The sequence below is a fragment of the Homo sapiens genome, chromosome 4 (genome assembly GCF_000001405.40).
Source record: "Homo sapiens chromosome 4, GRCh38.p14 Primary Assembly".
Taxonomy (NCBI): Eukaryota; Metazoa; Chordata; class Mammalia; order Primates; family Hominidae; genus Homo; species Homo sapiens.
The window spans coordinates 118,648,611-118,663,350 of record NC_000004.12 but is presented as its reverse complement, the minus strand read 5'-3'; the positions used below and the strand labels follow the sequence as shown (position 1 = coordinate 118,663,350).

The 14,740-nt window shown below is 35.5% G+C and overlaps 1 long non-coding RNA gene across 2 annotated transcripts in view; it reads right to left on the bottom strand.

Annotated features, from left to right (window-relative positions):
- Positions 1-14,381, bottom strand: part of LOC124900768 (uncharacterized) — a 30,836-nt gene extending 16,455 nt beyond the window's left edge. Inside the window, exons 1-3 of one of the 2 annotated variants that reach the window (XR_007058247.1) lie at positions 14,245-14,381; positions 6,225-6,329; positions 2,131-2,501 (exon numbers count right to left, since the gene is read on the bottom strand). This is a non-coding gene — a long non-coding RNA (uncharacterized LOC124900768). Of the gene's footprint in view, positions 1-2,130; positions 2,502-6,224; positions 6,330-14,244 lie in introns of those variants that run through there. The other variant, XR_007058248.1, reaches the window with a different exon arrangement.
- Positions 14,382-14,740: the final 359 nt, after the last annotated feature.

Here is a 14,740-nt window from a genome sequence, read left to right as displayed (position 1 = left end):
TTTTTATATATCTCCAGGTAATTTTAATATATAACTGGGGTGAGAATCATTGACCTAATTGTAAGAGGATAATATTCAAGAAACGTGGAGATAAATAATTTTCTTCTTGACATTAAAAAAATCTAATAAAAAGTTTTATCTTTTGCCCTAACTCAGGGTCATCAGCCTTCAAGCTTCAGTCTCTGTGTGTTCACAGGTGCTGCAAACACACGCATCACTACTAATATCCCACTTCAGTGCTATTGCTGCTCCCAAAACTCCAGGTATTTTTAACCTTATAAACCTCCAGAATAATGAGACCACTGGGTTCAGTAAATTGCTTTGTTGTGAAGCAGTGTTAGACAAAGTGGGAGACTAGAAGATAAATCTGTCAATGACATGTCCTTTAAGACTACTTAGATTTTGTTGAATTTGTGGATCATTCCTTACTTGAGCAAATGGTAAATTAACTCTCTCTTTTCTCTCTCTCTGTAGCTGGCACACTTTTTCCAGTAGCCATTCTACTTGGTATGCTTACTTATCAGCTGTCCTCCAGGGGCCTCACATTAGATGTTTCTCTTGACTAACCAAACATGACACACAGCTGAAGTCAGAAAAACCAGATTGATAATTTCACTCAAACTATTTTCCTTCATTCTAACAATTTACTGGAGTACACAATTGTGACTATTTTTAGCCATAGGAACTCATAGAAAGACCAACTTCATTAGACCTACAAAATCGAATTGTGTAACAGTATATGCAGTATGTGTAGGAATAAAAAGCATTTCTCAAATATGCAGTACTGGATTTTGCAAAAGCACCTTACACTTAGCTATAAAGGAGTGGAAAACACAAAGATGAGTAACTGCACCTTTCAAAAGACTAGAGCTATACCAATAATACAAAGGTGTAAACAAATAATGATGAGATGACAAAGGCTGAGTGTTTTCTATTTGGAAGCTATGTTGTTGAATTATTTATGTATATAATTTCATGCAATCTTCATGTTATGGGGGTGTTCTAATCCACTGTGACTCTGTCCTTAAATAAAAGGGAGATTTGGACATAGAGACAGGCACACGGGGAGGATGCCATATGAGAATTGACACTGTGCTGTCACAAGCCAAGGAACTACTGGAAGGAGAGAAAGAGGACTGGAACAGTTCCTTCCTTAGCACCTTTTCAGGCAGCCCAGCCCTGCCAGCTTCTTGATCTGGACTTCTCACCTCTAGAATTGTGAGGCAATAAATTTCTGTTGCTTAAGTTACCCAGTTTGTGGTACTTTATTACAGGAGCCCTAGGAAAATAATTCATTATATAATCTGCTAAGGTAGATATGATCATTGTCTCCAATTTCCATATGAAGAAACTATGCCTCAGGCATTGTGTCAGTTGTCCAAAATCATACATTCCTGACTCACTTCAATGAATTCTTCATTCAGCAAAATTTTTAAGGTACCTTAAAAAATTATGTTAACTCTTAGGTCCTTGCTTTAAAGCTTCAATGGACTTTTCCTTTGCAAAGAATAAAATCCTAATACTTAAGCATAGCTCTCTTTCCTGGCTATGTTTCTGACATCCTCTTGTACCATGCTCCTCCTTAATCATTCTGAGGTTACATCTTAAGTCCTTTCCCCTTGCCATTCCCACTTCTTGGAATACTTTCCCATCAACTCTTCAAAGAACTGGCTTCTTTAAGTATTTGGTCTCAGTTCAAATGTCACTTCCCTGTAAAAGCTTCCTGGCCATCAAGCCTTCTTTACACACACTCTATTTTATTTTTTCATGGTTCCTATAACAACCTAATATATTCTCAATTGATTAACTGTTTTGCTGACTACTGCCTTCCATAAGAATGAAAAGAAAATGTGGCCAGGTGCAGCGGCTCACACCTGTAATCCCACCACTTCAGGAGGCTGAGGCAACATGGCAAAACCTTCTCTTCAAAAAATTTTTTAAAAGTTAGCTGGATGTTGTGGAGGCAAGAGGATCACTTGAGGATCACTTGAGTCCATGAGGTCAAGGCTGCAGTGAGTCATGTTTGCACCACTGCACTCTAGCCTAGGTGACAGAGCTAGTCCCTATCAAAACCCTATCAAAAAAAAAAAAAAAAAAGAATGGAGAGAATGCTACATGAGAGAAAGGATCTTATTTATCATGTTCACCTCCCAAGAGGTGAACATATCCCCCAAAGCCTGATAGAGAGAAGATGCTCATTAATATTTAATGCATGACCATGTGCAGACTTGGGAGGAAAAATATGCCTCAGCCTATCAAAATTGGATCCTTAATAAACAAGGATGCTTCTCCATCATTTCCCCACAACACCAAACAAGTGTGGCGGCTCACTGTGGATGTTTAAGCAAATGCATTGTTTTTCCAGTTATATATCTGGTAGAGATGAGGTCATTGATAGGAATGGGAAGACAATCTCCTTTTATTTTGATGACCCAGCATGGCTGAACACTCAGTGACTACCACTGCACTTTGTTGTACTTTCAGCATTAGAGATGCCAGCCCTGTAGGATATAAAACAGGAACATCTAGTCCTCAATTATATTCAGAATTACTCAAGTCTTAGAAGCACCACTTGTCTTTTTTCAAGGGAGAGAAATGCTCAAGTGATGATGGGCTGAAGTGAAGGGAGGGAGTCACTCACTTAAACGGTTCCCTTAGGCTGTGTGGATGCAAACAGCATTAGACAATGACGCTGACAGTGGGAAATGCACTGGAGACGATGATTGGCAAAGCCCTCCTTTTCTCCCCATCCACTTTGGATACTGACAGCAAAGGGTTTGTCACAATGACAACTATACACTCCCAATATCACAGAAGAAGGAGGAATAAAAGGGTATGAGTGACTGAAGTTTAGAATAAATCAATAAATATTATGTCCCTCATCCATAGAAACCACAAAGGTCTAGTAACGCTAAGGATATAACAAGAAAATAATATGAATATTTGCTTCCCCTTCCTAGTGTAATAGAGTAAGTTACAAATGGCTTCAGGAAGGGGAGAGAGGAAGAAGAGTGGATGAGATACGTAAGAGTGCCTGAGGGCTGATTTTATGAAAGCTTTGGGAAGTTTTAAGAAAAAGAAAAGCTATTTTTCAAGGTACATGTGTGTATGCGTGCGTGTGTGTGTGTGTGTGTGTGTGAAAGACAGAAGAAAGAGGGAGACCTAGGAAGACTATGAGACACTAAGAGAAAAATTAAGGTAAAAAAGACACACACTTAGAAAAACACACATAGGGAGGAGGGAGGAGGTTAAGACATTTTACTATGTGCTGTGAATGGAAACTACAAACCATTTTTCATATATGCAATATATATACATATATACACACATATACATAGGTATTTAAAGATTTAAATTACATTTTCTCTTTTTTTAGAGATGCGGTTTCACTATGTCACTCTGCCCAGGCTGCAGTACAGTGGTTGTTCACAGTCATGATCATAGCACATTATAGCCTTGAACTCCTGGGCTCAAGCAATCCTCCTGTATTAGTCTCCCCAGTAGTTGGGATTACTAGCATATGCCACCATGTCCACCCTTATGCTTTTTAAAGTGAAAAACCATACTAAGAATGAGGCAGCTCAACTTAATAATAAAAACATTTCAAATGTAAAGAAATTTACAAAAGAAAAACAATCAACCCCATTAAAATTGGGCAAAGGGAATGAACAGACACTTTTCAAAAGAATACATGCATGCAGCCAACAAACATACAAAAAAAAAAGTTCAACACCACTGATCATTAGAGAAATGCAAATCAAAACCATAATGAGATACCATCTCACACCAGTCAGAATGGCTATCATTAAAAAGTCAAAAAATAACAGATGCTAGTGAGGCTATGGAGAAAAGGGAATGCTTATACACTGTTGGTGGGTGTGCAAATCAGTTCAATCATTGTGCAAAGAATAGTGATTCCTCAAAGAGCTAAAAGCAGAGCTACCATTCGACCCAGTAATCCCACTACTGGGTATATACCCAGATGAATATAAACCATTCTACCATAAAGACACATGCATATAAATGTTCATTGCAGCACTGTTCACAACAGCAAAAGAATAGGATCAACCTAAATGCCCATCAATGACAGATTGGATAAAGAAAATGTGGTACATATGCACCATGGAATACTATGCCACCATTAAAAAATGATATCATGTCTTTTGCTGGAATATGGATGGACCTTCTATTATCCTTAGCAAACTAATGCAGGAACAGAAAACCAAATACAGCATACTCTCAGTTATAAGTGGGAGCTAAATGATGAGAACTAATGAACACAAAGAATAAAACAGACACTGGGGTCTACTTGAGGGTGGAGGGTGAGAAAAGGAAGAGAAGCAGAAAAGATAACTATTGGGTACTAGGTTTAATACCTGGGTAATGAAATAATCTGTACAATAACCCCCTGTGACACCAGTTTACCTATGTAAAAAATGCCCCTAAACTTAAAATAAAAGTTAAAAAAAAAGAAAATTAAAATCTCCTTATCATCTACCTGGTAATATGAAAAACACATATCTTTCATTCATTCCTTTCAACTGATGAGGAAACTGAGGCATCAGGAGTTAGTAAAAGTCCACATTGAGATATGAGACCCACCACTGGCTGGACGCAGTGGCTCACACCTGTAATCCCAGCACTTTGGGAGGCCGATGCTGGTGGATCACCTAAGGTCAGGAGTTCGGGACCAGGCTGGCCAACATGGTGAAACCCCCATCTCTACTAAAAATACAAAAATTAGCTGGGTGTGGTGGCAAGCACCTGTAATACCAGCTACTAGGGAGGCTGAGGCAGGAGAATCGCTTGAACCCAGGAGGTGGAGTTTACAGTGAGCCAAAATCACGCCATTGCACTCCAGCCTGGGCAACAAGAGCAAGACTGTCGGGAAAAAAAAAAAAAAAAAAAAAAAACCACCACCATCATTTTGCAAGTGTTACCACTATTGTGTGTTAATATTGTAGAAGTATTCCTAATTATGATTTCTTTGTATTCCTAATTGTAATAGCTTTGTATTTGAAAAATTATTGATTCATACTCTATATGTTATTATTTTGTATGCGATGACAACAGAATATATTATCATGCTCCTTTTGTGAATCTCATTCATAATATAAAGTATAAATTTGTGATTTTGCTTTAATTTGAAATATTAATTTCAAATATGTTATCACAATTTGATACAAACTATTGACAATAAATCTGTGGATTAAGTAATGTCTTAGTAGGTATTGGGAAAATTTGAAACTAGTAACATGGAGGACTATTGTCATTGTTTATTTCAAAGCCAGTTAAAATTCTGCAAAGCAGTGTAAATAAAAATAATTTCAAGAAATTTATAAAATACCGAGATTATGGTGTATAAACAATCTTTAGATTCTTTAAGAATTTCTGCCAGTTTGTAATATATGCTTCATTCAAAGTAGCTAAGGGCTGTACCTGGCTAATAGTAGGCACCTAATATTTGTTGAAAAGGAATACTGAGTAGCTGGGACCTCCTGAGTAGCTGGGACCACACACATTTAACCTGTATTTATAAAATTACTGTTTAGAGAAAAACATTTGATGGAATCATGCTTTTACTTTCTGCTTATGACTCAATTGTTTGTACTGACACTAACATCCAAATCCTTAGCATGGCCTACAAGGCCCTGAGCAATGTGGCACCTGCTGAAGCCTGCTGCCTCATTTAATAACTTTTTGTCTCCTTCCCAGATCCAGCCACTCTAACATTTTTTAGTTCCTGGACCAAGACAAGCTCTTCCCAGAACCTGACCTTTGTACCTGTTCTTTATTCCTGGAGTATTTTTCCCCTGACAAATTACTTATCATCTATCATAATTCAGGTTAAATGGCACCAACTCAGGGAAGGCTTCCCTAACTGCCTCCCTTCTCCAACCAAATTAGGAACAATTATATGGCCACAGAGTATCGAATCAAGTTTATAATTTTAAAATAATTGGGAGATTTTGCTGTTTAACACTTGTTTTCACTATAAGACTGTAATTACATGCAAGTAAGAACCATGCCTGTTTGTTCACTCCTGCCACAGTCAGAATAGTGCCTGGAATATGCAGTAAGGGCTGAACAAACACTAAATAAATGAACAAGTGAATAAATGGATATTGTCTCATTTTTAGAACAGAGTACTAAATGGATCATGAACACTATCTGGTATGTCACATAGGTAATTTACAAGGGATACAATTTCAGCTCAGATTTACCTTTTCCTGGATACAGGTCTTGATAGGTCTCTTGATGTCATTTCACTTCAGATTCTTCTTTAGAAAACTTTGACAATAGCATTTGCTGTCTTGTCCAAATTGTTACTAAGAATCAAGAGAGATATCTCACATGAAATGACATTGGAAAACATTAAACACGATTGAAATAATGCTAGCCAATATGGTTATTATTAGAAACCAATTACATTTTCAACTTAAAAATAGTAATACTTATTGCAGACTCAAATGTGCTTATTCTAAAACAAGTAAATGTTTGCCTATGGTCTGAGATTCTAATCCACAGAGTTCATTCTAATCCACATTCAACACTATCATGTACCAGTAGGCCTCATAACCCACCTAGCCCTGTGATTTTTCAGGTTCACTTTTCTAAACTTGTGAATTAAATATTTATTTTCTTCGTTCAGAAGAGGGAAAAAACTCTTGTAATTGTTGCCCATTTCAGGAGAAATCTTGCATATGAAAACAAGAGATAAATATACACAACTGAGGGCTGTGGTTTAAACAAAATCTTGAGAATGTTTTTTGACCTTATACATTTGTGCTTTAGTATAACAAAATGATATAGACAAAGGTAACTTTTAATAGAACCAGTCACTAAATTAAAAAAATGACAAATTCTTCTGCTTAGCTAAGCAACAGAGAAGGTAAAATACTAATTCAATTCATCAATTTAAGCAATACTCATTAAGAGCCAAGTATGTGCTTACTGAATAAGCTGCTAAGGTTTGGTGGTTACAGAGTGTGCGGTGAAATGATGTCTACATCACAGTCCAACATTCACAGAGTTTAGAAGCCTACCAAGAATCAAGACAGACACAAATACCTAACATAGACATTTGTATGTGATAAGAGAGCCAGAGTACAATTTAGGAGAAGAAATTGTATGGAAGGAAGGTTCATTTCCATTAGACCAGAAAAGACAGCACATTTGAAGGCCTGAATAAGAAGTATTCTGGATAAGATATTGTGGCTGCTACCAGAATGGCTCTTGATGATCTCTACCTCTTGGTATTTATACCCTTATATAATCTCTTTCCTATAGTATAAGCTGGTCCCAGGTACTTGTTTCTATTGAATAGAATAGAACAAAAGTAATGAGATGCCACTTCTGAGATTAGATTATAAGATACTGTGAATTTCATCTTGTGCCCTCTCCCTCTCTCTCTTTCTCTTGCACTCTCATTTGAATAAAACCAACTGGCATGCTGTCAGTGGCCCAGTGTAAGTCCTGTTACAAGAAATTGATGATTGCCTGTAGCCAACCCTAAGTGAAGAACTGAGGTCCTCAGTCCTACAAATGGAGAGAAACTGAATCTAGCTAAGAACCATGTGAGTGAGCTGGGAAGAAGATCCACCCTCAGTCGAAATTTAAGATGACCATAGCATCAGCAGACATATTGAGACACACTGAAAGTAAGAGAGCAGGAGGAAACAAAACCAGGGTCATACAAAGAACACAACTGATTTTGAGATTCTCACATAAGTATTACACCTTCAGTGAGCACGTGTACTAGAAATTAAAAAAATAAATAAAATAAACCTGCAAAGAGAGCTAGCAAATAAATTTCCCTATGGTCTCAGCTCTGAGTGGAGAGAGAAAATGTTCCCTGTAGAGTTTATAGCCAGAATCCAGCTCTCAAACAGGTTTCAGCCTGAACTCACACAATCTGTGTGGCTTCCAAATTTGCAAGCTGAGAATTTAATTCAAAGTGGTCTCAGGTTGATAGCAGTCCAAAATGCCAGGTAGGAAAAAAATCCTCTCTGGACAAATAAATCATCAAAGCAAGCTCACAAGAGCAGGTTTCAAAGGTCATGAGCTTCTAACACACACACAAAAATCACACACACAAAATGGGGGTAGCAGCAACATGGGTAGCATATTCAATCTTGAAAAGACTTTAAATATTTGTATTATTAGATGTAGATTATGAAACACATATTTTAATGTGGTTAATTTTTTTAAGGAATCAAAACTATGAGTAAAGACCAAGAAAATTGTGCTGGATGGCCACTTCCACCATGGCTCCCCTCCTATTTAAGTCTGGGTACTGTGTCACCCGAAGTCTTCAGGCACATTGTTCCAGGTTTGGGTTTGCCTATGAAAGAAACTCATGAGAGCTGGAAGTGAGGAGTGAAGAGGAGGTCTTCACATAAAGCAGGCTTAAGGATTAGACATAGCAGGTTTGACAGATGTGATGGCTTGCAGAATTCTTTATGAGCTCCCACTGTCCATCTGGATAAGATTTACAGACCTTTCAGAAATTCCTATAAGCTTGGGTTCTGTGCCCACACTCTAGACTGTCAGGCTAAGATCTCTGATATAAAACAGACTTCTTCTGATTTTGTCTAGCTGCTTTTCTAATATCTATTCACCAAGCTCTTCCAATAATAGCATAAGGCCCTAATTAATGTTAAACTTTTATCATTATAATACATAGGATGTCTTCTGTTTTCCTGATCAAATTCTGACTATTAAAATATAAAGAATTGTCCAGAAATATATAAAAAAAGAATCACACATTGATCTTCTTTAAATGAAAATGTAACAATTGTATGGACTAGGATGATTACAGTTGTTCAGTTCTGACTGTTATTTGAAGAAAAAAGCAATAAGAAGCCTCAGCAACTTAACAGAAGGAGCTGCCATTTACTAGGAGAAAAGATTGTGGATGAGAGTGTAGCAAAGGTCAGAATTCTGTGAAGCTTGAGATGTCTATTATAATGAATTATCTTTTATACTCACTACAATTTCCTAACAATTTTGGGGTTTATATTTTTGAAAGAGATATACCTTTAATTTTCTTTCTTTGTACTATTGTTAGGTAACTTTAATGTGCAGATTATACTACAGTGAAAGTTGCCAATGACAAGGCAAAGTCACTTACATCAGACCCAAAGCAAAGTGGAGCCGAGTCATGAAAAAGGGGATCTTGTGTGTGTGTCCACAATAAGCACTATCACAAGGACTTTCTATAAACTCACAAGAAATTTCTGCCCACCCAGCACATTCTGTTTGTCCAGCTCATCCTGTAGGTGTCTCTATAATAGGACCTATCATAAAAAATTCCTCAAGACTGCAGCATTTCAGATAAGCCACCCTCACAAGAACACTGGCCTAGCAATGGCTGTTTCTGCCAGTAAGTTAACACCAGCTCCTGCATCAGGCCCTGTGACCAATGATGTTTGTTTCAAAACAGCTTGCATAGACTTCTTTTTGTCTTTAAATATTTTCCTTACCTCAACCTCTTGGGATGCACCTATGATTGATCATAGCACAAATATCTCAGATTGTAATCCTTGTTTATTTCCAAATAAATTTATTTCTTTGGAGATCCACTTTTTCTGTTATTATACATTGACATTGTTATCATGAAATTAGTTGGGTGATGTGCCTTATTTTCTTGTCTCCAGAAGAATTTCTGTAACAGTGCAATTAAACGTTTTTTGCATGTTTGCTAGAACTCACCTGTAAAATTGTCTGAGCAACCAAAGCCTGGTTTTTGTGTTTAGTTTTTCTTTTGTGATTGGGGAGGGGGGTTTATTGTACTGATTCAAGGTGTGAAGGTAACATCATTTTGATTTCATTCATCTTCTTCAGTCCATTTAAGCATGTTACATAGCGTTGTTTGTTCTTTTCATGATATTCTTTACAGTAGCCTCCTAAATGTTCCCTCTGCTTCTGCCATGAGCCCCTACAATCTATTTCAACTCAGAAGCTATAGAGTTTGTTTAAAACATGTAACATATTATGCCACCTTTCTTACTGTAAAACATCCCATGGTTTCTCATAGTATTTATAGTAAAGATGAAATCTTTATGATGGCTTGAGAAACTTTTCCCATTAGATGCCCAAGTGCTGGTCTGGTCTGATCTTCTCATCTTCCCTTGGGTGATTCTGTGGCAGTCACACTAGCCTCCTTGCTGCTCCACAAAAACTCCAGCATGATCCTACTTCAGGATATTTGCCATTGTTACTGCATCTGCCTGGAACCTTTTCTCCCATATAAACATAGAGATTGCTCTTGCCTGTCCTTCAAGTCTATTCTTAAATGTCCCATTCTCTGTGAAGCTTTCCTGCCCACCCTATTTAAATTACAGACTTCACTCCCAATTCCCCATCTACTTTAAGAGTCTTCATTTATCATTCCTTGACAAACTGTAAATATACATGTTCACTTTTTTATCGTCTGTCTCCAAATACTGGAATGTTAAGTTCTGTAATGTCAGATATTTCTGTTTGGTTCACTGGTGTATTCTTAAAGCATGTTACATACTAGGTATACTCAATGAATATTTGTTGAATAAATATCACATTGGGCTTATTCCAGAAATTCAAGCTTGTTTCAATAGTTAGAGCAATCTACAAATGTAATTCATTACATTAACTAATTAAAGGAGCTAAATCACATCACCACCACAATAATGCAGAAAAACACATTTGATACAGCTCAATATTCATGCATGCCTAACAAACATCTCATGATACTAGGAAAAAAGGAAGGGATATATTATTTTCATGTATAAAACACTAACCATTGTAGCATGGCAATATACTCAAAATTCAATGAAATTCCTATCGAAATCTTAGCATTCCTCTTAGTCCTCAACAAAGCATTTCTAAAATGTGTATAGAAGACCAAAGGGCCAAAAGAATCAACTTCTGAAGAAGTGGAAAAAGAAAGTTGAGGAAATCTTAAAACATGTTATTGAGCTTAAAGTTGCAAAAATAAACTCATGTACCATAATTCATGAGTAGAAAAATAGACTAGTGGAATAACATAAAAATAAAAACAATGCTTACATAAAATGTTGTAACTGATTTGGATGTCATTAGAAATCAGTAAGTAAATAGATGGACAATGTAATGAAAGATGCTAGGCAAATAATGTGGTAGGGAGAATAATAGCCCTCAAAGATGCCCATGCCTAACCCTGGAACCTGTGAATATGTTACACTGAATGCAATAAAGGCTTATCAGATGTGATTAAGGATGCAAACCGAGATGGAGAGATCTTCCTGGGTTATCCAGATGGGCCCAGTCTAATCACATGAGTTCTTAAAAATGGAGAACCTTTCTTAGCTGAGTCCAGAGAGAGATGTGACAATGAAAGAATGGTCAGAGAAATGTGACATCGCCAGCTTTAAAAAGAGAGAGGAGAGGCAATGAGAAAAGGAATGCTGATGTTCTCTAGAAGATAGAAAAGGCCAGGATATGGATTCTACCCTAGCCGCCAGAAAGAAACATGCCTGTCGACAACTTGATTTTAGTTCACTAAAATTCATGCCTGATTTCTGACTTGTGTACACTGTAAGATGATAAGTTTGTGTTATTTTAGGTCACTTAGTTTGTAGAAATTTGTTACAGCAGTAATAGAACAAGTGGTTATCCAAATGAGGCAAATTAGATTGGATACCTATCTCCAATAGAAATCAATTCAAGGTGAATTCCAGGAAAATACTTAAAACATTTAGATTAAAAATAAATGAGAATTTTTGTTACTTTTGGTAGGTCATAGAACCAAGAAAAACAAACATTAAGGAGGAAAAATGAACACATGACTACATCAAAATATAAAGCTTCTCTATTTGGATGATATCATAAGGTGACAAATCATAAACTGTAATACTTGCAACATATATATGAGTGAATAAATATACATTTAGAATATATATGAACTCTCAAAAATCAACAGGAAAAATAAGACATAGAACAAGCAAAATGCATAAACAAAAGAAGGCAAAACAAAAATGACTCATAATTATATGAAAAGAAGCTCATCTTCATAGATGAGCAGATAAATTCAAATTAAAACCACCCTGAGATGCTTTTTACATCCATGAGCCTGATAAAAGTTAGAGTCTAAAAGTAATAATTAACAAAGATGGGAAGTAACAGAAAATCTTGTCCATTACTGGTTAAAGTATAAACTGATACAGCTACTTTATAGAATATTACTTTATAGAATAAAGTTGTGAGTATGTATATGCAGTGACTCAGCATCTTCATTGCTAGTATGTACTCAAGAGAAACTTACAGGAGTGGACTAGGAAGTAAATACAAAATGATTACAACATTGTTTGTTATATCAAAAAATAAAAAAGACCCAATTTTCCAGCAAAAAAAAATAAGTAAAAATAAATCCTGGTGTATTCTAACAATGGAATAATATATAGCCATTAAAATAAATCAACTATTACTGTACATATGAATGTAAGTATCAGCAAAACATATTGTTTAGTGAAAAAGAAGCTGAAGAAGAATATATACAATATGGTTACATTTATATGAAGTCCAAAAACTTGCAAAATAAAGAAATGTATTTAGAAATAGATTCACATGTGAGAAAACTAGAAGAAAATTAATGAAAGGATAAAAGGGATAGCAGTAATTCTGAGTAGTTGAGGGGATTTCAATTGGAAAAAAATAGTATCATATTCTTTAAGTCAGGTAGTGGGTATTAGCATTAGTTTTACCATCGTTCTTTATTCTTATAGCTACATTATATATTTTCTATGTATTTAATGTATTTTTTGCATAATTAAATATTATGCAATAAAAATGAGAAAACAAAAAAGTAGAAAATGATAAATAACATACAATAAAGAAATGGAGAAAAAATTATAATCTAGTTGAGTAATGGTATATTACATAGCTATTTTCTTAAGTAGATGTATGTACATGATGTATGCACGATTGTACATACATGTTCTTAATTATATATAAATATATATGTACATATTTTTAATATAAAACACTAAACAAAGTACACCAAAATATTAGCTCCTATGTTAGTGAGATAATGTTTTGGTTTTTTTTATTTTAAGTTTTACATAGTAGGTGTATTTGTCTGTTTTCATACTGCTATAAAGAACTGCCCAAGACTGGGTAATTTATAAAGGAAAGAAGTTTAATTGGCTCACAGTTCAGTACAGCTTGGGAGGCCTCAGGAAATCTACAATCATGGCGGAAGACAAAGGGGAAGCAAGGCAGCATCTTCGCAAGGCAGCACGAAGAAGTGCCAAGCAAAGGGGAAAGAATCCCTTATAAAACCATCAAATCTCGTGAGAACTCACTGTCACAAGAACAGCACAGGGGAAACTGCCCCCATGATTCAATTACCTCCACCTGGTCTCTCCCTTAACATGTGGGGATTATGGGGGCTATGGGGATTACAATTCAAGATGAGATTCAGGTGGGGATACAAAGCCTAACCATATCAGTAGGCATGTGTTGAATTTTAAACTCAGAGAAAAATACTAGTGTTTTTATAGGATTCTTACTAAAGAAAAACCAGAAAGTAATAAACCATCTACGCTAAGACATAAAATTCAGTTGTTTAGTTACAAGATAGAATGTGGCCTTGTAAGAAAGCAAATTAACTTCTAACATACAAAGCCTTAGAGAAGATTCAAGTGACTGATGGATCTTAAACAGAGCTATTATTACAACTCAAACTGCAGTAAAATATCCTAAGCAACATAGATGTGTGTGTTTCATTAGTCAGAGCAATACAAATTTAATGAAATTCCATTGGTGGTGTTTTTAATCAGACAATTTCTGAAGATGTCCTGGCTTATTCATAGATGCAAGCCAAATCTCTAGAAGAGTACCATAATAAGAAAAAAAAGAATACAGGCAATTGAGAGCTGTTCCAAAGTTTAGGGAGTTTTTGTAAGGAATTAATAAATAAAAATGTTCTTGAAAGAGAAAATTAATATGCAGTTCATACTGCCAGAATTGCAGGCAATTTATCAAAGTCCCCTAATCCTCCAAAATCGCTATTTTTTTTTTTGACACACACTTTACAGTACAGAAGAAAATGTCTCCGGCAATAAATCACAAAGTTAAAATTACCTAGTCTACAATTAACTAGACAGTGATGGTAAATCATTTTCTACCAAAAGAAAGAAATGTCTTGTCTATTCAGGTTCTGCTCTACTTAAAAGTTTTCCTTGTTGGCGAGTAAGTGGTTAGAAAATCATATTTTATACGTACATTCAGCTTAACTATCATTCAGCTCAGGAAGATGACTCAGGGCCTTATCCATACCTTCAAGTTTGCTCTTAGCAAGTAATTGTTTCAGTATCTATATCAAAAATGGCTTAAGTCTGCAACATGTTTCTGAATGATTAACAAGGTGATAGTTCTTCATTGAATCCTGGATGCTTTATTTTTCTTAATAAGAGGAATTCATATGGATCAGCTAGAAAAAAAATTAAGAGGAAAATCACATGGAAAATTATTATATATTATATATCTATTATATATATTATATATCTATTATATATATTATATATCTATTATATATATTATATATCTATTTTATATATATTATATATTATATATCTATTATATATATTATTATATATTATATATCATTTCCAAATTCCCCAGCGTTCATATTTGTCAGTGCAAGTAAAGAGCCTTAGTGCTGATTAGGTTTGAGGTATGACCATTTGGCCAGAATTTATGAACTCTACATGTCGCTTGA